Below are 26,944 nucleotides of genomic sequence, written 5' to 3'. Positions count from 1 at the left end.
AATACTGACAATTTTTAAAATTGTCGAGTCTTCCAATCCAAGAACAAGGCTTCAATATTTATTCAAGACTTTCTATACATCTCAAAATGCAATGTTTTATGCTTTCACACAGGTACTCCAATTTTCTCTTTCATCTGTTACTGGATAGTCAACTGTGTTTTCAGTTACCATTCTAAATGGCATATTTTCATCCTTTTAATTACTGACTGCAATAAAAAAAGTCATCAGGCTGGGCGCGGTGGCTCACGCCTGTAATCCCACCACTTTGGGAGGCCGAGGTGGGCGGATCACAAGGTCAGGAGATTGAGACCATCCTGGCTAACACGGTGAAACCCCGTCTCTACTAAAAATACAAAAAAATTGGCCGGGTGGGGTGGCGGGCACCTGTGGTCCTAGCTACTTGGGAGGCTGAGTCAGGAGAATGGCGTGGACCCGGGAAGCGGAGCTTGCAGTGAGCTGAGATTGCGCCACTGCACTCCAGCCTGGGCGACAGAGTGAGACTCCATCTCAAAAAAAAAAAGAAAAAAGAAAAAAAGAAAAAAGTCATTAATCCATTTTCCTACAGTCATTTTAAACCAGCCCCCTTACTGAACTTCCTTAATAACTATAATGGTTAATCTTCCAGAGCTTTTGGGATAGACAATTATTTCATCTACAAATACAGTTTTTTCTTGTCTTGTCCAATACTTCTGTTTCTTATTTCATTCCCTGATTAACTGCACTGGCAGGCACTCTAGAGGAAAGCAAATCAAAGCAGGGAAGGGTGTTCACTTGAATGGGAAGGTAAGCAGAGTTCTGCCATTACGTCTGCTACTGACTTTTCACTTGAGACATAGGTCTTATCAAGTTAAGAAAGTATCCAAATTGTTCTATTTCATTATGTTTTTTAAAATCCAGAACAGATGTTGAATTTTATCAAATACTTTTTTCCCATCTATGAGGCGGCTATGGTATTCTCCCTTGTCCTATTAACATGGTAAAATTCATTAGTAAATTCTTTAATATTGAACTTACACTTTCAGGATAAATTTATTCTCAGTCATAATGCATTATTTAACATATTGCTAATTTTACATGTACATTCATAAGAAGGTTGGGCTATGGTTTTCTTTTGAAATGCCACCTTTTCCAGTTTTTGGAATCAATGCAACAATGTTGGCTTTATATAAAAAAAAAAGGGTTGGGTAATGGTGTATTCCTTTATAAATTCCCTGGAAGAGTCTATCTATCTATCTATCTATCTATCTATCTATCTATCTGTCTATCTATCTATCTACTGGAGACAGGGTCTCACTCTGTCACCCACGCTGGAGTGCAGTGGCACAATCATGGCTCACTGCAGTCTTAACCTACCAGACTCAAGCGACCCTCCCACCTCAGCCTCCCAAGTAGCTGAAACTATAGGTGTACAAGACCACGCCCAGATAATTTTTGTATTTTTTGCAGAGATAGGGTTTTGCCATATTGCCCAGGCTGGTCTTGAACTAAAGAATAGTGTGTTACTTGGAAGTCACTTTAAGGCTCAATAAGAAATCACCAATTGACCTATCTAACCTGATAGTTGAGATGGTGGACAGGAACTTTTTCAAGTATTTTAATCGTTCATAGCTATTGATCTTTTCATTTTCTCTTCTTAAGGAAGTTTTACATATGTATTCTGAAAAAATCTTTTGCATGCCACCTTTGAAATCTATGAAAGTGTTACAAAAATATTTCTTAATAATATGGTTATTCCCCTTTTTACATTCCTAATTTGTATATCTGTTCATTTCCTCCTGACTTGATAAGGTTTGCTAATGGTTTATCTATATTATTGACTTTTATTAAAATCAGATTTATCAGCTTTACCTTTTTCCTTTTTTAGATCGTTAATTTTTCTTTTTATATTAATTCCTTCCACTTCTCATATATATTTTCTAACTTCCTTGACTGAATGTTTCATCAAGACAGAAAATAAAAACTACAGAAAATCAATCACAGTTGGGTATAACTCAGTTGAAGGCACCATACCATATTCGCTCATCTAATCTTTTCCATCTTCATTAAAAAATACATAATATGATTCACTGTCACAGAATAAACAAAATTAAGAGTTAGGTTTTACAGCACATATAGATCATGTCATGTGGTTTTGACAGTTTTACCACGTTTCTGAAAGTTTCTTTCTTTGTCTTCTTAGTTGCCAATACCTCATTCTGAGAACACTGCAGAAATCTGTCTGGCCCAGAGTGGAACCCAGATGTTTCCTGTCTGTGTGGAGACATCACTTTGTCACATGATGTGACAACTGTTTCTCTGTAACTAGTCAATTTCCCAAGATGTTTTCTTTGTGATTCAGAAGGTCTGAGTTTTGGCGTATGGTCTAACTCAACATTTTAAACAGTTTTGTAAGTGTCTAATGTGCACCTCCTATTTTGTATGCAAATAGGACTTTTGTACTGATATCCTCCAGATGAAGAAAAGGGAAAGCTTCTACAATAAATACAGAAGGAAGGACACAATTGGAAAATCACCATTTGGTAACCATAATTAGAAGTAATTGAGTCACGTAAGCATCATTAATGGATACTAACTCTAGTGGATGAAAGTTTGAGGTTAATTACATGATCTCAAAATATCTCTCTACAACATACTTAGTAATAATATAACTTTATAGTGGAGAACCCTGGTGGGCATAGCCTTGATCAAGTGATCAAAGCTAACATCACCATTAATGTGACAAACCAACACTGTGTACCTTCTGGTATGGTACATTGAGAAGGACACATGATCACTTCTGTAGTATTCCTGTCCGAGATGTACAACATGACTCTAATCATGAGGAAAAATCAGAAAAATTCAAATTATAAAAATAACTGGCCTGAACTCCTCATACATGTCAAAGTTAAAAGAGGTAAAAAAAAATGACCGAGAACATACTCCAAATTAAAGAAGTCTAAAGAGATATGACAACTAAATACAACATGTAACACTGGATTAGAATCCTGGACCATTAAAAGGAATGAACATAAATGATATTATTGAAACAAGTGGAGAAATCTAAATAAAGTCTATGCATCAGATAATAATATTTCAATGTTAACTTCCCTGCTTTCGATCATTATATTGTGGTTAGTTAATTATTGTGATCACATACAAAATGTATATTACCTAGGAAATACACATTAGGAGTAAAGGGTCATCATGTTCACAACTTACAGACAGAGAGACAGAAAAAGAAAGTCTCTACACACACAGCAAAATCTTAATTACAGAATGGGGTGAAGGGTATAACAGGAATTTCTGTATTATTATTATTATTGTTAGTATTATTATTATTTTGAAACGGAGTCTTGCTCTGTCGCCAGGCTGGAGTGTAGTGGCGTGATCTCGGCTCACTGCAACCTCTGACTCCCTGGTTCAAGTGATTCTCCTGCCTCAGCCTCCTGAGTAGCTGGGACTACAGGCACGCACCACCACCCCTGGCTAATTTTTGTATTTTTAGTAGAGACAGGGTTTCATCATGTTGGCCAGGATGGTCTCAATCTCTTGACCTCGTGATCCACCCACCTCGGCCTCCCAAAGTGCTGGGATTACAGGCATGAGCCACCACACCGGGCCTATTCTTATAACTTTTCTAAATCTGAAATTATTTAAAATCAAAACCAAAACAAAACAATAATCTCTTATGTGTGTGGAAAGGTGAGCAAGATGAAAAGATTAAAGAAGAGGTTAGCTGCTTTCCCATATTGTCAGGTTGTATGTGAGGGACAGAGGCATCTCTGCCTGGGAGTGAATCTACCAGCAGCTTCCAGAATCCCTAAGGCAGACTCCTCCGAGATAACCCTGCATTTGTTGAGTCACCACTATGTCTTGGCCCTCAAGCAGCCAGCCTCTAGAGAGGCTCTTTTTCACGCTACTTCATTCAGGTCTCTGTAGTCAATGGTCAGTCCCTAAAGACTAAGAGATTTTGACCAAGGGACTGAAAATCCCCCTCCAAACTACCTACTGAGAAGAGTCCTTAACCGTTAGCTTCATTAATGGGACCCTACTAGAAACCCACTTTAAAACCTCAGGGTCTAGTTCACTGTGTATGTTTTTGGCTTCCAGGGAGAATAATAGAAAAGAGGCAATCTCAGATGGCCAAGCCAGAACTTCAGATTAGAATTTCTTTTTTATTTTTTTGAGACAGAGTCTTGTTCTGTTGCTCAGGCTAGAGTGCAGTGGTGCAATCTCAGCTCACCGCAACCTCTGCCTCTCAGGTGCAAATGATTCTCCTGCCTCAGCCTCCTGAGCAGCTGGGATTACAGGTGCTTGTCACCATGCCCATCTGATTTTTGTATTTTTAGTAGAGATGGGTTTTCACTGTGTTGGCCAGGCTGGTCTCAAGCTCCTGATCCTCCCACCTCATCCTTGCAAAGTGCTGGGATTACAGGCATGAGCCACCACGCCCGGCATTCAGCTTAGAATTTTGTCCTGGTATTCATGTGGTTTCAGAATTTCAAACAAAATTACCTCATGGTATGAATGCCTTGGCTTCACGTTTATATGATTCAAATGGAATCCTATCAAATTCAGTGAATATGAGTCAATCAAGTGGATTCACAGGGGAGATATATAATTCAATTCAAATTCAAAAGCATGCAAAAGTAATCCACTATATTAAACACTAGTTACCCCTAGGGTGGCAGTAGGTATTGACCAGTAAGGACACCTTCCAGGTGTTAGAAGTGATGAATATCTTGATCTAGGCTGTGGTTACAGGACTCTGTAATATAAAAATTCATTGAGCTGCACCTTAAAGATAAGCCCACTTCACTACATGTGTATTATGCCTCAATTTTTTTAAAGAATTTTTTGGCCGGGTGTGGTGGCTCACGCCTGTAATCCCAGCACTTTGGGAGACTGAGGTGGGCGGATCACGAGGTCAGGAGATTGAGACCATCCTGGCTAACACAGTGAAACCCCCGTCTCTACTAAAAATACAAAAAAGTAGCTGGGCGTGGTCATGGGCACCTGTAGTCCCAGCTACTCGGGAGGCTGAGGCAGGAGACTGGTGTGAACCTGGGAGGCAGGGGTTGCAGTAAGCCGAGATCGTGCCACTGCACTCCAGCCTGGGCAATAGAGTGAGACCCTGTCTCAAAAAAAAAAAAGAAAAGAATTTTTTTTTTTGAAACAGGGTCTCACTCTGTCACCCAGGCTAGGGTGCAGTGGCACAATCATAGCTCACTGCAACCTTGAACTCCTGGGCTCAAGGAATCCTCTCACTTCAGCCTTTCCAGTAGCTAGGATCACAAGTGTGAGCCACCACACCCAGCTAATTTTTTTTTTTTTTTTTTTGAGATGGAGTTTCACTCTTGTTGCCCAGGCTGGAATGCAGTGGTGCAATCTCGGCTCACTGTAACCTCTGCCTCCTGGGTTTAACTAATTCTCCTGCCTCAGCCTCCCAAGTAGTTGGGATTACAGGCGCCCACCACCAAGCCCAGCTAATTTTTTTTTTTTTTTGTAGTTTTAGTAGAGACGGAGTTTCACCATGTTGGCCAGGCTGGTCTTGAACTCCTGACCTCAAGTGGTCCACCTGCCTCGGCCTCCCAAAGTGCTGGGATTACAGGCATCAGCCAACATGCCCAGACTACCCAGCTTATTTTTAAATTTTTTGTAATGATGGAGTTTCGCTATGTTGCGCAGGCTGGTCTCAAGATCCTGGCCTCAAACAACCCTCCTACCCCAGCCTTCCAAAGCACTGAGATTACAGGTGTAAGCCACTGTGCCTGGCCAAACAAGGAATATTTAATGACCTGGAAAAGTATCTGTTATATAAATGAAATTATCTCAATTCAAACTTGGAAATTTTGTTTAAACACAGCCACATCTTGCCTCTCCCCATGGTGCTCCTCCCCCCCAATGAATATCCCATTAAATTAGAGATCAAAAACAGACAATACTAAGATTAGAAGCTAGGGAACCTCTGGCAGAGTAGTGACTGGGAGGGGCATCATGAGGGCACGGTGCTAGAATGTTGTTTTCTGATCTGAGTGCATTACCCAGGGGTATTCCCTTGTGACAATTCATTGAGCTACATATTTATATACATTTTTGCATATATATCACAATAAAAAGTTTATGTAAAATTTCTTTTTAATTATTTGCTCTGAAACCTGGCACTGAGCACAGTATAGGTGGTGAAGGGAATCAACATGGAGAAAAAATTACCCAAACTCCTTACCCTGGCTTATTATTTCACCCATGCTAAGCAGCTATCTGTCTTTGATTCTGTGCAAGTGAAAAACAGGGACTATCTGCTTTTAAAACTAAAATTTGACCTATGTGGGTTCTGAAAGATGTTACCTGCCTTAGCATCCAGCTGCCTTTATTTCTTAAGATGCTACAGGCATTGTGCTTTGTCTGAAGGTTACATAAAGATCAAACGTAATAATTTTTTAAAATTAAAATATTGTTTTGACATTGCACTTTTTCATTAATGGTCAAAATCTTATTTTCTAACTCAGAAATAGAAAGTCAAATACTGCATGTTCTCACTTATAAGATAATAATGTGTACACATGGATATAGAAAGCAGAATAATAGACACAGATGACTCTGAATGGAGGGAGGGTAGGAAGCGGGTAAGGGATGAGAAATTATCAGATTGGTACAATGTACATTATTCAAGTGATAGTTACACTAAAAGCCCAGGCTTCCCCACTGTGAAATATACCCATGTAACAAAACTGCACTTATATCCCCTAAATCTATTTTTTCAAATCTTATTTCCATTTTATTTGCAATCCCATCTCAGCCATTTTAATAACTATTAGTTCAATTTTAATTTCAGTGAGGAACAGTTTCTAAAAGTAGCTTACATTTTGTTTTGTGGCGGTTGTGGCTTTATCTGTCTTGAATTTTTTCTGCCAGGACTTTATAAGGAATTGATTAGTGGAGGTTAAAAATGGCTATGCCTAAAATATATAGGACAAGGCAAAAAGTTTCTCAGAATACAATAAATTCCAAATCTAGTTTCTCTTCCTTTGATAATTTAAGTTGAGCCTAGATAAAAGTATTTTCTAAACACTCTGTTTGCTCTTTCAGCCAAATCTTTTACATTATCATTTTATTTTATTTTGTTTATTTATATTTATTTATTTATCTTGAGACAGAGTCTCATTCTGTCACCCGGGCTGGAGTGCAGTGGTACAATCTCGTTTCACTGCAATCTCCACCTCTTGGGTTCAAACGATTCTCCTGCCTCAGCCTCCAGAGTAGCTGGGACCTCAGGCGCCCGCCACCACGCCCGGCTAATTTTTGTGTTTTTAGTAGAGGCAGGGTTTCACCATGTTGACCAGGCTAGTAATTCCTGACTTCAAATGATCCACCCACCTCAGCCTCCCAAAGTGCTGGGATTACAGGCATGAACCACTGCACACAGCCTACATTATCATTTTAGATACTTACTCAGTAAATTTGTTTTCTAACCACGGGCAAGGTCACATCCATCCCCGCTGTCACAGAGTCAGAATGGATTTCCAGAAACCAGCCTCACTCTTGGGATGCTGGCACAGATGCGTATGTCATTACCTTTGCCAGAAAGAGCCTTAAAGGAAACATTAGGAAAAAATATGCATTAGATCCCTAACAAGAATAGAAGCCACGTCTTTAGTAACATGTTACTTTAGATAAGTTTAGCACGCGATCCTTTCAAATTATTTTCATTATTGTAGAGAACAATAAAAAGGGTGTGGGTTCAAAAAAGAGTTTTCAGATGGGCCTTGGTGGAGAGGAACTGGCTGCTATTCAGCTAGGGAGTGTCACCTGAGTGAAATGTGTTCCCGCTATGCAGGCTTGCAGCCTCAAATCTGTGATTTTCCCATCCCCAATCTCCACATTTCAGGACCCTCAACACCAACCCCTATAAGTCTCCTAATCAGACACGCATAGTGCCCCCAATCACTGGCCTCCAATCTCCAACCCTCAGAGGTTTTCATAGTCACTGATATTCCCCTATGTTCAAATCTGACCAGGAGAGACTACAGGTCAGTAACTACAAAGAACACCGATCCGATCTGATTGCCAGTGAAATTACACAGCCCCCAATCATGAATCCACACTGATTGCCAATGATATCCCAACGACTGAGGATCAATTGTTGATTCTCACAGTCCCACTCCCACCCACAAGTGACAGTCCGAATCACTGAGCCTCATTGAGGCGTACCTTTAAGATAAGCACACTTGACTCTATTCTCCATTCCCTGATCTACAAAAGTCCAATCGTTAATACTCTCCGATCCTCCACCGATGATATGAAGTAAGTCTCAATCACCGATGGCCCAAAACATTTCTCCAAACATTCATCACCACTGACCTCCCTCATTTGAACCCCAAAGTTTCCACAATCACCAATTCCAGTACCCAAACTATTACTGCCCACAGAACTTAGAACCTCCGATCACTGATCCTCTCGGGCTCCGATCATTAACCTTAAAGATCTCTAAACCAGTGTCTGAAAAATCCCAACTGACCCCAGACCCATGAAGACCACTATTACTGACCCCATGCACCCTGAAAATCAAGACATTTCACAGAACTCGCATTTATTGATTCCCACACACTCCCAATCCATCTTCTTCAGAGACCGTGCCACTGACTCCCGCAAACCTCTGTCCGCCACCACTGAGGCCCCGCGAGGCTCAGACGCCGAATCTCTTAACCCTTCAGTTCCCTTGTCATTGACCCTCACGGGCACCCATAGCTGACCCAGTCGGCCACCGTAGTCGGCAGCTCACTATCCTCCACTAGTCCCAGGTTTGACCGTTTCTCAAACCGTGCCTTCCCATTTATGCTGCATCCGCGCCCTGAATCTGAAATTGGTCGTCCTGCCACGCCGCCTCACCGCGGTATAAGGTCGTCCCATCCTGAATGGCCGGTGCGCAGACTCAATTGCGACTTTGAGGCTGTCAGCCGCCACCCGGCAACCTTCCAGTGAACAGGATTCTGGGTTTCTCAAAGCTGTAATTGGAGGTATGATGGCGACGCCCACTTGACTCCTACCTGGGGCGGCCATGTTTAAAACTGTGCCGTAAAACGGATGATTAAGCCCTTTGCTAGACCAAAAGATAAGGCTATTTTAGGACAAGGAGAAGGAAGTGTCCCTGGATCCCTAAACAGAGATGTCGTCTCTGCTCTTAACTCAGCATCTCAGATGCCAAAACCTCCTGTGGCCAACATGGTGGCGCCCAGACATCAAAGCTGAGCTTTCTTTGTCTCCGGCAGCCTGGTAAGATGGCCGCGTACATTTTTACCGCTTCTTACGTGCAATGGGTGCAGCCTCTCCTAGGAGCTCCCCTATGGCAATGTGAAACTCTTTCTGAGCCAGCTCTAGGAGTTAGAGAGCAGCGAAGAGACTCGCTCTTAGGGAGACAGAGACAGCCTAAGGACGGGCGTGACTTCACGGAAAGGGCGGAGCCGCAAGGAAAGGGCGGGGCTGCCGCAGCGGGAAGAGATCAGAGTTCTTAGCGCATAATGGAAAGGAAATGTTGAAAGCAAGGTTTTTACCTAAGGAGGCTTGCCCGAGAAGCCGACCTGAGGAAAGAATGAGTGCAAGCAGTTTATTTGGTAGGTGGGGGATGGAGAAGTGAGACGGGAGCGATGGGAACGAATATACAGTGCATAGGTGAGCAGATTAGCTCTGGATCAATGAGGGCTCAGTCAGCTTGGGACCTCTGGGGGATTGTGTAGAAACCACTTCCAAGTTTTCACAACCACCAGGCCGATGAAGCTTACATATGTCTACACCATCTCTCTTCCTAATTGTTTTAGGGCCACTCCAGAGGTGTTAAAGCTCCAGCACTTCGAGCCTGCCTCGTGGGAAAGTCTTAGGCTGAGTCTGTAGGTGTCTGCAGTTAAGAAGCCAGCGGTCTGCATATGATTGCTCAGGGGTGGTGGCTGGGTCCAACAGCATTCACTACAGGCCTGCCTTGAATACCACCTAGCGCAGTGCTCCGCATATCACAGGTATTGGAACATCTCTAGAAAAGATTGCCTTGTCTTATGAAAATGGCTTTTTAAAAAAATCCTAATTCCAACTGGTCATCCTAGCAACTGATACAATAACTGACCTCAAAATGTTTCCCAATGATTCCTACCTCCTACTATTCACACTCTTATGTAGTTCCCTCCCACATTGTACCAGGGTTGGACTGTGAGACTAATAGAATGCAGTAGCAGTGATAGATGTCACTGCTGAGATTAAATATAATAAATGGCACCTTGAGTTCTGTCTTAAAGGCTGCTGCCCCCACTTTGAGAGAAGTTAGTTGCCATGTCATGAGGATACCGAGACAGCCTATGGAGAGGCCCAGGTAGCAAGGAACTAAGCCCTCCACCCAATAGCCTGGGAGTAGCTGGGGCCTTCCTATAACCAAGTGTATCACCCTTGGAAGCACATCTCCCAGCCCCAGTCAAACCTTGAGATGACAGCAGCCCCTGCCAATAGTTTGACTGCAACTGCGTGAGAGACACAGTCACAAGCACTCAGCTATAGCAGCTCCTATATTCCTCACCCTCAGAAAGTGTGTAAGATACTACATGTTTGTTGTTTTAAGCTTCTGAGTTTAGGGTAATTTGCTATGCATCAGTAGATAACTTCAATGCTGTGTTAAAATGCTACAATTGACATTTCTTCTTTTTTTTTTTTTTTGAGACGGAGTTTCGCTCTTGTTGCCTAGGCTGGAGTGCATTGGTGCAATTTCAGCTCACCGCAACCTCTGCCTCCCGGGTTCAAGCGATTCTCCTGCCTCAGCCTCCTGAGTAGCTGGGATTACAGGCATGCACCACCACGCCAGGCTAATTTTGTATTTTTAGTAGAGACGGGGTTTCTCCATGTTGGTCAGGCTGGTCTCGAACTCCCGACCTCAGGTGATCCGCCTGCCTCGACCTCCCAAAGTGCTGGGACTACAGGTGTGAGCCACCGCGCCCAACCCCATTTCTGAATTCTTTAAATAAAGTTCCTAAAGTTGCGAGATTATTCTGTCAGAGGAGATTATTACCAGTTTCCTCTTCTTCCTTGCGATGGAAAAATTAAAGGCCTATGGCTCTGCTAGATTTTTAAAATTTAACAAAGAGGTCAAGGGTCCTTGCTTCATTTGATTTAATATAAGTGGTTTATATGACAACACTTTGAAGTGATTATAGTAATTAATTTAAAATCACCATTTAGGCTGGGCATGGTAGCTCACACATGTAATTCCAGCACTTTGAGAAGCCAAGGTGGGCAGATCACCTGAGGTCAGGAGTTCAAGACCAACCCGGCCAACATGTTGGAACCCCGTCTCTACTAAAAATACAAAAATTAGCCGGCATGGTGGACGCCTATAATTCCAGCTGCTCGGGAGGCTGAGGTAGGAGAATCACTGAACCCAGGAGGTGGAGGTTTCAGTGGGCCAAGATTGTGCCATTGCACTCCAGCCTGGGTGAGACTCTGTCTCTAAAAAAACAAAAATAATAATATTGAAGTAAAATGAGTATTTATAAAGTGCCTATTAAATGCCTGATTGATCACTGGCCTGCTCACTTCAAGGGCTGTTCTTATTCTAGGATTAGACCAATAAAGCAGCCACAACTGGTAAATTGTCACTCATGAAGGCCGAGGGAAAGACAGCCTTTGAGGGTCTTTTGCTGGGAATTAAACGTTCTGCCTCAAAAACTATACATGTCATTTCCATTCACTAGTCTTTGAGACGTCACATGGCCACCCAGGAGTGTGATAGCAGACATGTAATCCTACCATAATTCTGGGATGGGAAGAGCTGGCGATATTTTGGAATAACATTAAAGACTGCCACAAACATTGTAAAGATAGTGTTATCATCACGCTTCAAAAGAAACTGCAACACGGGGGTGAGGTGACCTGTCCGTAATCATTCAGTGAGTAAATAAAGCAACAAGGATTCAGAGCTGGGTGTTTCTGTGTTATTCAGAAGTAAAGGATCATTAGCATCATTATTAAATTTTACCCAAAATTTATTAGAACCTAAATATATCTCAGCAACTGAATTGGGAAAAAGAAGACTGAGTACTCGAGTAAAAATAGAGGCTACTCAAGGAGCTGACCTCTTGATTGGGGAAGGAGTACACATGGAAAGAGGAAACAGGTAAAAGAAGAGTACACACTGTAGGACTCCAGTCATGAGAAACTCAAGAACAGGCAAAACAGATCTATTGAGTTATAAATCAGAAAGCAGTTGACTCCAGGGGCTATTTTTTTTTTTTTTTTTTTTTTTTCTGAGACAGAGTCTCTACTCTGTCTCCCAGGCTGGAGTGCAGTGGTGAGATCTCCATCTCGGCCCACTGCAACCTCCTTCCAGGTTCAAGTGATTCTCGTGCCTCAGCCTCCCAGGTAGCTGGGATTACAGGCATGCGCCATCACACCCGGCTAATTTTTGTATTTTTAGTAGAGATGGCGTTTCACCATCTTAGCCAGGCTGGTCTCAAACTCCTGACCTCAAGCGATCCGCATGCCTCAGCCTCCCAAAGTGCTGGGATTACAGGCGTAAGCCACTGTGCCTGGCTGGGGCTATGACTTCGAAGATAATTTAGGGGGTGAGGAAAATGTTCTATGTCTTGTTTTATGTGGTAGTTTCATGGGCCTACGTAATTGTCAAAGACTCATCAAAGTGAACACTTATTTGTGTTATTATATGTAAATTATACCTTCATTTTTAAAAGAAAAAGCATACTATTCAGAGTATTGAGTAATGATGTGGGCCAGGGAACAGAGGGAGTGAGAAAAGAAGTAACAGAACTTTATCATAGTCTGCAGAAAGATAGGACCCTGCCAAGGTCATCATTAGCATTTATGGCCTATGACAGTGTGATTCCTCTAGGCAGAGGAATTCGAGAAAGGAGCCTCTAGGCAGACTAGCTCCAAGGCTCTGGGCTAACCCAACCTGCAGTGACCATCAGCTCTCACCTGTTCCAGTGAGCTTATGCCTATAGGTCCAAGCCTTGAACTAAATGTGGTGGCCCTAGACACTGTCATCATTTAAAAGGGTACAGGGCCCCAAATTTGGCCTAAAAGGAGGCACAGCGCTTCCTTGCTCTGGAGCAGAAAGGACCTTACCTGGGCCTGAGTGTTGTTTGTTGTGGGGGAAAGAAAAATAGATCAGACTGTTATTGTGTTTATGTAGAGAAAGGAAGACATAAGAAACTTCATTTTGATCTGTACTAAGAGAAATTCTTCTGCCTTGAGATGCTGTTAATCTGTAACCCTAGCCCCAACCCTGTGCTTGCAGAAACAGGTGCTGTATTGACTCAAGGTTTAATGGATTTAGGGCTGTGCAGGATGTGCTTTGTGAAAAATGTGTTTGCAGGCAGTATGCTTGGTAAAAGTCATCACCAATCTCCAGTCTCGAGTACCCAGGGACACAATACACTGAGGAAGGCCACAGGGACCTCTGCCCAAGAAAGCCTGGGTATTGTCCAAGATTTCTTCCCATGTGATAGCCTGAGATATGGCCTCCTGGGAAGGGAAAGACCTGACCATCCCCCAGCCCGACACCCGTAAAGGGTCTGTGCTGAGGAGGATTAGTGAAAGAGGAAGCCCTCTTTGCAGTTGAGATAAGAGGAAGGCATCTGTCTCCTGCTCGTCCCTGGGAATGGAATGTCTCATAAAACCTGATCATACATTCTATTTACCGAGATAGGAGAAAACCGCCTTGTGGTTGCTGAGACATGCTGGTGGCAATACTCTTTACTGCACTGAGATGTTCGTGTAAAGTTAAACATAAATCTGGCCTACGTGCACATCAAGGCACAGCACCTTTCCTTAAACTTATTTATGACACAGAGTCCTTTGCTCACGTTTTCCTGCTGACCCTCTCCCCACCATTACCCTATAGTCCTGCCACATGCCCCTCTCCGAGATGGTCAACATAGTGATCAATAAATACTGAGGGAATTCAGAGACTGGGGCCAGCGCGGGTCCTCTGTATGCTGAGCGCTGGTCCCCTGGGCCCACTTTTCTTCCTCTATACTTTGTGTCTTATTTCTTTTCTCAGTCTCTCGTCTCCACCTTGCAAGAAATACCCACAGGTGTGGAGGGGCAGGCCCCCTTCAGTTTGTTGCTGTTTTTTTTTTATTTTTATTTTTTGGTGTTTTGTCTGGTTTAGTTTGGCTTTTTGGTTTTTTTTTTTTTTTTTTTTTTAGAGACAGGATCTTACTCTGTTGCCCAGGCTAGAGTGCAGTGGCACAATCATGGCTCACTGCAGCCTTGAACTCCTGGCCTCAAGTGATCCCCCTGCCTCAGCCTCCCAAGTAGCTGGGACTACTGGTACACACCACCATGCCCAGCTAATTTATTTTTATTTTTATTTTTTTGTAGAGATGGGGTCTTGCCATCTTTCCCAGGCTGTGGCCTGAGTGTCAATAGGGCTGTATCTTGGCATGAGTGTAGGGTGCTCTGGATCTGGGTGGGATGTGACCATCTCCTGGATCAAGGTTGACCGTGGAAGTAGCCTGGGATGAGGAGAGGCCACAGCCCATCCTGTCCTCAGAGTATGTGGAGGCAGGAAGAGCACCGGGGCAATGGGTGAAACAAGTATCAAAGTATAATTTTCAAAAACTTATAATTTTTAACTCTTTTACAGATATTCAAAGATTCATTTCACTTATTAGCAAGGGCATTGGAAATTGATTTCCAAGTGAACAGGTATATACCTATCTTCAGTGAAAAACAATAGAATCTTCGAATAAGATTGCAAAGTTAGATATAAAACTATTTAATATCCCTACAGGGCAATAAAACCATACCTTTAAGGTTATTTCTTCCACACAGAATCAATTTGTAGCTATACCAGATGAATATATGAAAATGCATCAATTGTCTGCTGGGCGCGGTGGCTCACGCCTGTAATCCCAGCACTTTGGGAGGCCGAGGCGGGCAGATCACGAGGTCAGGAGATCGAGACCATCCTGGCTAACATGATGAAACCCCGTCTCTACTAAAAATACAAAAAATTAGCCAGGCATGGTGGTGGGTGCCTGTAGTCCCAGCTACTTGGGAGGCTGAGGCAGGAGAATGGCGTGAACCCAGGAGGTGGAGCTTGCAGTGAGTCCAGATCACGCCACTGCACTCCAGCCTGGGCAACAGGGTGAGACATCTCAAAAAAAAAAAAAAAAAAGAAAAATGAAAAATGCATCAGTTGTCTGCAAGTTAACATCTATTTTTACACCACCTACATCCTAATAAATAACAGTCAATCAAATAAAGGTTCATTACACCAGAGCAATGAATTCTCAACCTGGGGCAGTTTTAAGCCCCAGGGGACATTTGGCAATGCCTGAAGACAATTTTGGTTCTCACAATGATGGGGGTAGGATACTACTGGCATCTAGTGGGAAGAGGCCAAGAATGCTTCCAGCCACTCTGTGTTGTAGAGAACAGTCCTCTGTAACAAAGGATTATCTGGCCCAAAATGTAAACGGTGCTGAGTGTTGGAAAACCAGTCCCTAGAACAGTTTGTTAGACTGTGCTGTAGTATGACTTTGCAAAGATATATGGGATAACAAAATAATATTTTTTCCTTATTTCCTAGTTTCATGAGTGGTGCAAGGTTAGAGATATCCAGGGGCACACATGCTTGTATCTTGCCACAATGTCAGGCTTTTATTGATGCTAGTTCAATAACAAAAGCCATGAGCTATGTGGAGTTCCCAAGGAGGCATTCTCCTTAGTACTTCCCCTTCACTCCAGAGGCAGAGCCGCAGGCACACAGGTTCAAGATACTCCAGAAGTCAGTCAATACTGCAAAGCATATATAATAGTGTACTTTTTTTTTTTTTTTTTTTTTTTTTTTTTTGCGGGGGTCAGAGTCTCACTCTGTTGCCCAAACTGAAGTGCAGTGGCGTGATATCGGCTCACCACAACCTCTGCCTCCTGGATTCAAGTGATTCTCCTGCCTTAGCCTCCCGAGTAGCTGGGAGTATAGGCACCACCATCCCCAGCTAATTTTTTCTAGTTTTAGTAGAGATGGTGTTTCACTATGTTGGCCAGGCTGGTCTCGAACTCCTGACCTCATGATCCGCCTGTCTCAACCTCCCAAAGTGCTGGGATTACAGGTGTGAGCCACTGCGCCTGGCCAATAGTGTACTTAATATATAAACATTCTTGGTCAAACATTCTACAACAAAGTAACATTTAATATCAAGAGGAAAAAGAGATAGGAGAAAGGGTTAAGGAACCAGTCCATGGGCAAAGACAAAAGAGGTCCTAGTCTGGACTAGGCAGTCCATCAGTCTTGCAAGAAAGAGTTTTTGATGTGGCACAGCCTTCCACAGCAGATGCCAAGTTCTTATCATGAGTAACTACAAGATAGTGTCAGTTAAGACGGCCGTTTCAAGCTGCTGAAGCCCTAATCTTTTATAGTCACAGAGTCCTCTGGTGAGAACTGATGATGGAAGAATGTGCTTGTTCATGTCCTTAACTGGTTGGATGCAGTCTTTATTCTTTTTTTTTGTTTATTAAGCAAAACATCCTGTTGGCAAAGTGTTCTATGAAAAATGAAATGGAGTCTTTTTCTAAGATGGAGTTAGGTATGTCAAAGGTGCTCTATACATCTAGTTTTTGATAATTTATTATTATTATTATTATTTGAGACGGCGTCTCACTCTGTTGTCCAGGCTGGAGTGCAGTGGCGCGATTTCGGCTCACTACAGCCTCTGCTTCCCAGGTTCAAGTGATTCTCCTCCCTCAGCCTCCTGAGTAGCTGGGACTACAGGCACACACCACCATGCCCGGCTAATTTTTGTATTTTTAGTAGAGACTGGATTTCACCATGTCGGCCAGGCTGGTTTTGAACTCCTGACCTCAGGTGATCCGCCTGCCTCGGCCTCCCGAAGTGTTGGGATTACAGGCATGAGCCATGGCGCCCAGCTGATAATTTTTCTTAACACCAAATTGGCAAACTGCTGATAATTGCTGAATTGGTGTAATTAATACATGATGATCTATTCATATTTTTTCTCTGTTTTTATATATGTCTGATTTTTTTCTATATTAAAAAGTGAAAAGAAAAAGAAAAAAACAGTAGATTCTAGTCTGTTAGCTTATGGTCAATGCTATCTATAAGTGACCACAATTAAAGATCATATTAGGAAATAATATTTAAGTCTAGAGGTTCCTTTTTTATGACCTGATCTCCATACTCGGTTCATCTCCAGTTGTTCTCAATTCTTTTTTTTTTTTTTTTTTTTTTGAGACGGAGTCTCGCTCTGTTGCCCAGGCTGGAGTGCAATGGTGCGATCTCGGCTCACTGCAACCTCTGCCTCTCAGGTTCAAGCGATTATCCTGCCTCAGCCTCCCAAGTAGCTGGGACTACAGGTTCCTGCCACGATGCCCAGCTAATTTTTGTATTTTTAGTAGAGACGGGGTTTCACCATATTGGCCAGGCTGGTCTCGAACTCCTGACCTTGTGATCCACCCGCCTCAGCCTCCCAAAGTGCTGGGATTACAGGCGTGAGCCACCACGCCCAGCCTGGTTGTTCTCAATTCTAACTACATCTTAAAATCACCCAAAGAGATTTTTAAAATCCCAATTCTTGGGCACCTCCAGAAATTCTGGTTTGATTTTCCTGGGGTAAAGCCCTGTTTTTCTTTTTTTCCTTTTTATATTTCACCAGGTATGGGAAGCTTTGGATTCATAAGCTCAGTAAATTAAGGAATTTCACATTATGAACTCAATTTGAGATGGGTTGGACTGGTGATACCTGGAAGGGGTAAATGAGAACCCACTCTGGAGGCACTTTACGCCTGAGGGAGCATCCACAAATAATTTTTCAGGTACAGTGACCAGCAAGTTGTCACAGATATCCAGCATGCAAGGGAACAGAACCACATGAATGAGATCAAATAGAAACAACAGATAGTATAAGCAGATTCATCTAAACAGAGTAGCTTTGAACTAGAGATGTTGCTTTGGTTTGGGTTCGAGGCCCTCATTCAACTTCTCTTAGCCCACAATGGTGAGTCTTCAAGAAATACGAATATACATTACAGTTGCAACTAGCCCTTGTTATCTGCTGGCACGTAGATACCATTGCATCATAGAACCTACCCCTGCCTCCAAAGTCTTTATAGGAGCTGCAGTAGTTGCCTCTGTTTAGATTATGGGGTTTATTTCCCACTCTGTCCTCTATATGTGGTAGTAGATATTGTTTATTTCTAATCAGCACTAATTTCTACCTCTTTTTGCGCTCTTACCTTTGTTTCAGGGGCTGGAAACCTAACAATTTCACTTCCTAGACAACTTGCTAAAAGTCACCTAAAGACAGTCTGGTTACTGCCAAAGATATGCTTTCAAATAAGATTTGGATAAAGAAGGGAGGTAGATGCCTTTTTTCAGCAGTGGAGTGATGTCTAGACCAGTAGATGTACGCATCTAAGTGAATTCATCACCAGCAACAATTTCCAGAAACTTCCTGACCTCCAGATTGCAGCTTCATTAGTGTGAGTTTAAAGCCAACTAGATGCCATTCTCAGATTCCACGCATATGGCCAAGGGTCCAGGAAATAAGAAGAAACAGGTTGAGGGGTTGGTGTTATGGGGCATTTACTTGAATTTTCTATGCTATAATTGTCTCATCTTTAAAACGGTGATAATAATAAAATTGTCAGTTATTAAATAAATTAACACAGTGAAAAAAAATTTCTTCAAGGTTCTTTCTTTTTGCTTTCATTAACAGTTTCTCAAAGCCTTTCCAGTTTCTGCCCATTCTCATGTGTGAGGTTTTTCTTATGGGCATATTCTACTTTCAGTTTTGTTTGTCCAACCTCATCAAACTTCATCCTTAAGATTGATGTATTTTATTTTATTTTTATTTATTTATTGAGATGGAGTCTTACTCTATCACCAGGTTGGAGTGCAGTGGCGCCATCTAGGCTCAATGCAACCTCTGCCTCCCAGGTCCAAGCAATTCTTCTGCCTCAGCCTCCTGAGTAGCTAGGACTACAGGCACTCACCACCACACCCAGCTAATTTTTGTATTTTTAGTAGAGACCGGGTTTCACCATGTTGGCCAGGATGGTCTCGATCTCTTGACATTGTGATCCGCCTGCCTGAGCCTCCCAAAGTGCTGGGATTACAGGCGTGACCCACTGTGCCCGGCCTATTTTATTTTAAACTACATACATAACTCATACCACAATAAAACTGATTTAAAGTATATGGCACTTATAAAAAATAACTATACCTAGTATATAAAAACATATAGAAGATTTTAGTTTTGGCAGAGGATTGAAACTATTGTAGAAAAAAAAAATGGGCCAGGCATGGTGGCTCATGCCTATAATCCCAGCGTTTTAGGGGGCCAAGGCAGGTGGGTCACTTGAGATCAGGAGTTCAAGACCAGCCTGGGCAATATGGTGAAACCCAGTCTGTACTAAAAATACAAAAATTAGCCGGGTGTGGTGGCAGGTGCCTGTAGTCCCAGCTACTTGGGAAGCCGAGGCATGAGAATTGTTTGAACCCAGGAGGTGGAGGTTGCAGTGAGCTGAGATTGCACCACTGCACTCCAGCCTGTGTGACAGAGTGAAACTCTGTCAAAAAAAAAAAAAAAAAATCCAAATGGTGATTTTCATTACTTTCAAATAACTAAAAGGACAATGGATGTAAAGATCAGATTACACACAGGGAACAAAAAGTTAATCAAGTGGAAAAGAGGACATGAATTCTGTAATAGAGTTTCAGGAGAAAATGAGGAGAAAAAAGCTAATACAGGCACAAGGTATATAATAATTAAGTCTTACTTTTATTAAATCAGGGTCCTGGAAGGAAAAGAGATTCAGAAGGTGCAGAAAATACTGGAAGATTAGAAAACTGGTAGATGAAAAGAAGGCACACTTTTTTGGTAAATGAAAATAATATATTTTTATTATTTTTATATTTCATTTGACCATCATTAGTTATGATTTTATAATAGTTCCTAACATCCTCACTATGGATTACTCTTTTCTTTTCTTTTTCTTTTGAGACAGGGTCTTGCTCTGTCACTTAGGCTGGAGTGCAGTGGCACCATCTTGGCTCACTGCAATCTCAACCTGTTGAGCTCAAGTGATCCTCCCACCTCAGCCTCCCAAGTGACTGGGATTACAAGCACGTCCCGCCATGCCTGGCTAATTTTATTTATTTTTTGTAGAGATGGAGTCTTTCTATGTTGCCCAGACTGGTCTCAAACTCCTGGGCTATTTGGTTTTTTTTTTTTAATTGACAAGGGCATACTTTCAAGAAACATGTCTCTGATGGGCGCAGTAGCTCATGCCTATAATCCCAGCACTTTGGGAGGAGGCCGAGGCAGGTGGATCATGAGGTCAGGAGTTCAAGACCAGCCTGGCCAACATGGTAAAACCCCGTCTCTACTAAAAATACAAAAATTAGCCAGGTGTGGTGGTGCACGCCTGTAATCCCAGCTCCTCAGGAGGCTGAGGCAGGAGAATTGCTTGAACCCAGAGGCAGAGGTTGCAGTGAGCCAAGATCGTGCCATTGCACTCCAGCCTGTGCGATAAGAGTGAAACTCCATTTCAAAAAAAAAAACCACATTTGTTAAAAGGCTAATGAAAAGGAAATCATAACTAAGATGAGAAGAAATCTGCTGAAACCAAAAACAAAGAAGCTTGCAAAGTTTTTTTTAAAAAAAAAAAAAAAAAAAGGACTTCTCAATGGAAATCAGTGGAAGCCAGAAGATTTAGCACTCTTAGGAAGTCACATACAGTGAAAGAAGAACTGGATATCACTCAAGAATAAAAAGGGGCTGGACGCAGCATCTCACGCCTGTAATCCTAGCACTTTGGGAGGCCAAAGGGGGCAGATTGCTTGAGTCCAGGAGTTTAAGGCCAGCCTGGGCAACATGGTGAAACCTTGTCTCTACTTAAAAAGAATAAAAAGGACTGGACTCCAGAAAACTCTCTCCAAACCAACTATTTTGTCATTGCAGTAGTCTCTCATTGGATCATTGAATGACATAATTTACTTTTCTTTTTTTTTCTTTTTTTATTTTTTATTATACTTTAAGTTTTAAGGTACATGTGTACAACATGTAACTAATTGAATGAAGAGAGTAGAGGATGAGTTACAAAAAGGAAATGATCTCTGTGAGTTTTTTAAGGCAGAAGACTTGGTAGATGATACCATAGATTAACAGAATATATACAAAAATGGAAAATGAAGACTCTAAGTTATATTGACCACAAATAAAGTTGGCATCCAAGCACAGAAAAAAAAAAAAAGAATAAAAGGGAAAGTACAGATGAAATAACAGACAACATGAATTAGAAGGCCAGGGATGGCTGTGGTTGGATATATGTTTTGTTTTGTTTTGAGACAGAATCTCGCCCTATCGCCCAGGCTGGAGTGCAGTGACGTGATCTCAGCTCACTGCAACCTCCACCTCTCAGGTTCAAGCAATTTTCCTGTCTCAGCCTCCCAAGTAGCTGGGAATATAGGCACCCACCATCACACTCGGCTAAGTTTTTTGTATTTTTAGTAGAGACAGGGTTTCACCATATTGGCCAGGGCTGGGCACGGTGGCTCATGCCTGTAATCCCAGCACTTTGGGGGGCCGAGGCAGGCGAATCACAAGGTCAGGAGATCGAGACCATCCTGGCTAACACAGTGAAACCCCGTCTCTACTAAAAATACAAAAAATTAGCCGGGCGTGGTGGTGGGCACCTGTAGTTCCAGCTACTCAGGAGGCTGAGGCAGGAGAATGGCGTGAACCCAGGAGGCGGAGATTGCAGTGAGCTGAGATCGTGCCACTGCACTCCAGCCTGGGCGACACAGCAAGACTCCGTCTCAAAAAAAAAAAAAAAAAAAAACAAACTCCTGACCTCAAGTGATCCACCTGCCTTGGCCTCCCAAAGTGCTGGGATTACAGGCATAAGCCACCACGCCTGGCCTCAGTCATTCTTTAATTGCAAAACCTTACTTGTTCAAAAGACACACAGAAACAGAGGAATACACACACATGAATGAAGCTCCATCACAGATATGAAAGACAAAGAGAGAAGGACATGTTAGGAAAGGCTGGAGGCAATGCAGGAGAAATCACTCCCAATAGCCATGTGGATCCTGGATGTTTGTGCAAGAGTGGTGAATTTTCCATAAAGGCTACGGTTTTAGTTAACAATACCATCCTCAAATTACTCTCCTTTTCTGCATGAATGGACTGTGTTCAGTTAGGTGCTATCATTAGGGGAAGGAGAAAAAGGAGTTATAAGCACCTTATTTAACCTCTTTCTGCACCTCTTGTCAGTCTAAATGAGTTCCTCAGGAGGTTTTTGTGGTTGGGTGGTGGTGTAGTCCTCTTGTTTTTAAAAAGGTGACCCCTTAAGAAGGGAGGGGCTTCATAATCCCAAAGCTATTATACTGAACAGGAAAAATTAAAAGCCTTTCCTCTAAGGACTGGAACAAGACAAAGACGCCATTTTTACTTTTTTTTTTTTTTTTTAAACAGAGTTTCACTCTTGTTGCCCAGGCAGGAGTGCAATGGCACAATCTCAGCTCACTACAACCTCCACTTCCCGGGTTCAAGTGATTCTCCTGCCTCAGCCTCCTGAATAGCTGGGATTACAGGCATGCGCTACCATGCCAGCTAATTTTGTATTTTTTAGTAGAGATGGGGTTTCTCCATGTTGGTCAGGCTGGTCTCGAACTCCTGATCTCAGATGATCCATCTGCCTCAGCCTCCCAAAGTGCTGGGATTACAAGCGTGAGCCACCATGCTCGGCCCATTTTTACCACTTTTATTCAACATAATACTGGAAGTCCTACCCAGGGCAATTAAGCAAGAGAATGAAATAAAGGACACCCAAATTAGAAGGAAAGTAATCAAATTGTCCTTGTTTGCAGATGAAATGATCTTATATTTAGAAAAACCTGAAGATTCCACCAAAAAACTCTTAGAACTATAAACAGTAAAGTTCCAGGATACACAATGAACACACAAAAATCAATAGGATTTATCTATGCTAACAGCAAGCAATCTAAAAAAGAAATCAAGAAGTTAGTTCCATTTACAATGGCTACAAAGACAATGAAATCCCTAGGAATAAACTTAACCAAAGAAGAGAAAAATCTCCACAATAAAAACTACAAAACACTGCTGAAAGAAATAGGACACCAAAACATGAAAGGATATTCCATGGCTATGGATTAGAAGAATTAATATTGTTAAAATGTCCATATTACCCAAAGAATCTACCAATTAAATGCAATACCTATAAAAATATAAATGACATTTTTCACAGAAATATTAAAAGTAATTATAAAATTCACTATGGAACCCCAAAAGACCTTGAATAGCCAAAGAAATCCTGAGCAAAAAGAACAAACCTGGAGGTGTCACACTACCTGACTTCAAAATATACTACAAAGCTATGATAATCAAAAGAGCATGGTACGGGCATAAAAACAGATATGTAGACTGATGGAACTGAACAGAGAACCCAGAAATAAATCCGTGAAATTAGTGCCAACTCATTTCTATAAAGGTGCCAAGAACATACATTGAAGAAAGCACACTATATTCAACAAATGGTGTTGGAAAAACTGAATATGCATATACAGAAGAACGAGACTACATCCCTATCTCTCACCATACATAAAAATAAACTCAAAATGGATTAAAGACTTAAATGGCAGACCCAAAACTATAAAACTGCTAGAAGAAAACATTGGAGAAGTGATCAGCAAATTGGTCTGGGCAAAAATTGTTTGGGTAAGACCTCAAAAGCTCAGGAGACAAAAGCAAAAATAGACAAATGAGATTATATCAAGCTGAAAAGGTTCTGCACAGCAAAGAAAACAATCAGTAGAGTGAAGAGACAACCTACAGTAAGGGTGAAAATATTTATACACTAGACATTCAATAAGGGATAAGCAAAATATATAAGGAACTTAAACAATAGCAAAAAAATCTGATTTTAAGATGCGCAAGGGATTCGAGTAAACATTTCTCAAAAGAGACATACAAATGGCCAATGGGTATATGAAAAAATGCTCAACATCACTAATCATCAGGGAAATGCAAATCAAAACCACAATGAGATACTATCTCACCTCAGTTAAAATGCCTATTATCAAAAGATAACAAGTGTTGGTGAGGATGTGAAGAAAGGGAATCCTTACACACCATTGGTGGAAATGTAAATTAGTATGCTATTATAGAAAACTGGAGATTTCTCAAAAAAACAAAAATAGAACTACCATACGATCCAGCAATCTCATCTCACTGCTAGGTAGACATCCAAAAACAAAACAAAACAAAACAAACAAAAAAGGAAATCAATATATCAAAGAGATATCTTCACTCAAGAGGGTTAATTGACTCACAGTTCTGCATGGCTGGAAGGTCAGGAAACTTACAATTATGGTGGAAGGTGAAGGGGAAGCAGGCACCTTCTTTATAAGGTGGCAGGAGAGAGAGAGAGAAAGCAGGGGAAACTGCTGCTTTTAAACCATCAGATCTCATGAGAACTCCCTCACTATCACGAGAACAGCATGGGGAAAACCGCCCCCATTATCCAATCATGGCTCAAACCATCCTTCTACCTCAGACTCCAGAGTAGTTCAGACTACAGGCTACAGGCACATGCCACCATGCCTGGCTAATTTTTGTATTTTGTATAGAGACGGGGTTTCACCATGTTTCCCAGGCTGGTCTCAAACTCCTGAGCTTAAGCCATCCACCTGCCATGGCCTCCCAAAGGGCTGGGATTCCAGGTGTGAGTCACCGCACCTGGCCAGATTAGTAGTTTCTTAGCTATGATACCAAAGGCATAAACAAGAAAAGAAAAAATAGATAAATTAGAGTATATCAAAATTAACAATTTTTTTAGTTGTTTTTTATTTTTTGCTTCAAAGGGCACTATCAAGAAAGTGAAAGGAAAGTCTACAAAATGGAAGAAAATGTTTGCAAATAGCATATCTGACAAGGCCCTTGTATTCAGAATATACGAAGACCTCTTACAGCTCAACAATAAAAAGGCAATTCAATTTAAAATTGGAAGTGGATTTGAATAATCACTTTTCCAAAGAAGATATACAAATGGCCAATACACACACGAAAGGATGTGCAACATCATCAGTCATTAGAGAAATGCAAATAAAACCCATAAGTAGTACCACTTCACACCCACCAGCTTTTGTATCCACTTGCCAGTCTATAATCCATGTTCAATAACTGGCTGCCTGGTGAATACAGCTCACCTCAGAGCTGTTCATGAGCATAGGATTTATACAGCACAGTCACACGATATGACATAGGCAGTTTTTATTTCCTTAACTACTTTCAGACACTATGTGGCCAGGCGCGGTGGCTCATGCCTGTAATCCCAGCACTTTGGGAGGCTGAGGCAGGCAGATCACGAGGTCAGGAGTTCGAGATCAGCCTGGACAAACTGGTGAAACCCTGTCTCTACTAAAAATACAAAAATTAGCTGGGCATGGTGGCGGGCACCTGTAATCCCAGCTGCTCGGGAGGCTGAGGCAGGATAATTGCTTGAACTGGGGAGGCAGAGGTTGCAGTGAGCCGAGATAGCGCCACTGTATCCAGCCTGGGCAACAGAGAAATGCTCCGTCTCAAAAAAAAAAAAGAGACACTAGGCTATAGCTCAGATTCCACAAGTATCTCTATCTAAAGGATATGAATGAGTGAATGAGGCAAAATAGGGAAGAGAAGAAGGGCTTTATTTATTTATTTTTTTTTTTGAGATAGAGTCTCGCTCTGTTGTCCAAGCTGGAGTGTGGTGGCGCAATTTCGGCTCACTGCTACCTCTGCCTCCCAGGTCGCGGTTGAAGCAATTCTCCTGCCTCAGCCTCCCGAGTAGCTGGGATTACAGGCACACGCCACCATGCCCAGCTAATTTTTGTATTTTTAGTAGAGATGGGGTTTCACCATGTTGGCCAGGCTGGTCTTGAACTCCTGACCTCGTGATCCACCCACCTTGGCCTCCCAAAGTGCTGGAATTATAGGCATGAGCCACCGCGCCCAGCCGGGTTTTAATTTTTATCTACTGCTTTAACTTTCACTTCAGTGTGTTGGAGTGTGGTGGACAAGCACTCTTCCTCACTCTGCCATCCTGTTTCTGTTGATATTTTCAACCATTCAGCTATGGATGTCTGAAGCCTCTCTTTGACAGTGATAGACAATTTCCTTGATATTCTTAATTGCTTATTTTTCCATTGACTTATAAATGAGAAAAATATAATAAAAATGGGAAGCTATCAACAAATTCTGCTGGATATTGATTATAATCACAGTGACTAAGTTAGGCATCCATTTTAAAATCCAGAGTTACTATGTATTTGTTTCTGTATGCTGCCTATCTGAAGTAAATTTCTGTCTCTACCGCTTGCTTCTACTGTAACAGCCTCATGCCATTTCCCTTCCTGTTTCCTTTCACAACCCCCAGTATATTTTATAAAATAATAACTTTTACTAAATACTGCTGTAAATTTAACATGTATTATGACAAATGCATGTAACAGTTCTAAAACAAAGAATTACCTCCCTTTAACATCTGAGAAAATTGAGTTCAGAAAGGATAGTAATTGGCCCACAAAAATTCTGGACACTTAGTACACAAAGGGAAATTAACAAATCATGGTGCATATACAATGGGGTCCTGAAAACAATAAGAATGATGATGGGAAAATTAGGCTTATAAAACCCTTAGCATAAAACGTCATTCTCAAATGAGTCAAACATGGAAAGATAGTCTTAAAATTGTTAACAATGGTTGCCTCTGCAAATAGACCATATATAAGCTTCTTTCTGAAGAAAATGGTGGATACAGGAATACCAGTGGCACACCTTGGGAATAGTAAAAAAGTAACTGACAGGGCACAGTGGCTCACGCCTGTAATCCCAGCACTTTGGGAGGTCGAGGCAGGCAGATCACCTGAGGTCAAGAGTTCAAG

At 41.9% G+C, this 26,944-nt stretch overlaps 1 protein-coding gene and 1 long non-coding RNA gene across 13 annotated transcripts in view, besides 3 other annotated features; one reads left to right on the top strand and one right to left on the bottom strand.

Moving 5' to 3' along the window:
* ZNF793 (zinc finger protein 793) overlaps positions 1-9,407 on the bottom strand; it is a 36,906-nt gene extending 27,499 nt beyond the window's left edge. For 3 of the 12 annotated variants that reach the window (XM_047438815.1, XM_006723213.4, XM_047438822.1), the window contains exons 1-2: positions 8,528-8,896; positions 7,432-7,570 (exon numbers count right to left, since the gene is read on the bottom strand). The gene's annotated coding sequence lies outside the window, so the exon portion shown is untranslated. Of the gene's footprint in view, positions 1-7,431; positions 7,571-8,527; positions 8,897-9,287 lie in introns of those variants that run through there. The other 9 variants (XM_047438817.1, XM_047438813.1, XM_047438818.1 and 6 more) reach the window with 4 other exon arrangements.
* Positions 8,395-9,186: an enhancer, noted in NCBI's record as "NANOG-H3K27ac-H3K4me1 hESC enhancer chr19:37997551-37998342 (GRCh37/hg19 assembly coordinates)". NCBI's record gives its function as "activates a minimal SCP1, AML or CMV promoter by ChIP-STARR-seq in primed H9 embryonic stem cells {active_cell/tissue: H9 hESC(primed)}" and the evidence as "EXISTENCE:reporter gene assay evidence [ECO:0000049][PMID:30033119]".
* Positions 8,680-8,829: an enhancer, noted in NCBI's record as "active region_14549". NCBI's record gives its function as "activates an Ori minimal core promoter by ATAC-STARR-seq in GM12878 lymphoblastoid cells {active_cell/tissue: GM12878}" and the evidence as "EXISTENCE:reporter gene assay evidence [ECO:0000049][PMID:35858748]".
* On the top strand, positions 8,748-18,676 carry ZNF793-AS1 (ZNF793 antisense RNA 1). Its single transcript, NR_110723.1, is given in 3 exon segments — positions 8,748-8,996; positions 9,795-9,989; positions 18,243-18,676. It is a non-coding gene; the product is annotated as a ZNF793 antisense RNA 1 (long non-coding RNA).
* Positions 9,187-9,978: an enhancer, noted in NCBI's record as "NANOG-H3K27ac-H3K4me1 hESC enhancer chr19:37996759-37997550 (GRCh37/hg19 assembly coordinates)". NCBI's record gives its function as "activates a minimal SCP1, AML or CMV promoter by ChIP-STARR-seq in naive and primed H9 embryonic stem cells {active_cell/tissue: H9 hESC(naive and primed)}" and the evidence as "EXISTENCE:reporter gene assay evidence [ECO:0000049][PMID:30033119]".
* Positions 18,677-26,944: the final 8,268 nt, after the last annotated feature.

The sequence above is a fragment of the Homo sapiens genome, chromosome 19, assembly GCF_000001405.40.
Source record: "Homo sapiens chromosome 19, GRCh38.p14 Primary Assembly".
NCBI classification, from domain to species: Eukaryota; Metazoa; Chordata; class Mammalia; order Primates; family Hominidae; genus Homo; species Homo sapiens.
The sequence above is the reverse complement of the archived record's forward strand: the minus strand, read 5'-3'. Positions and strand labels throughout refer to the sequence as shown.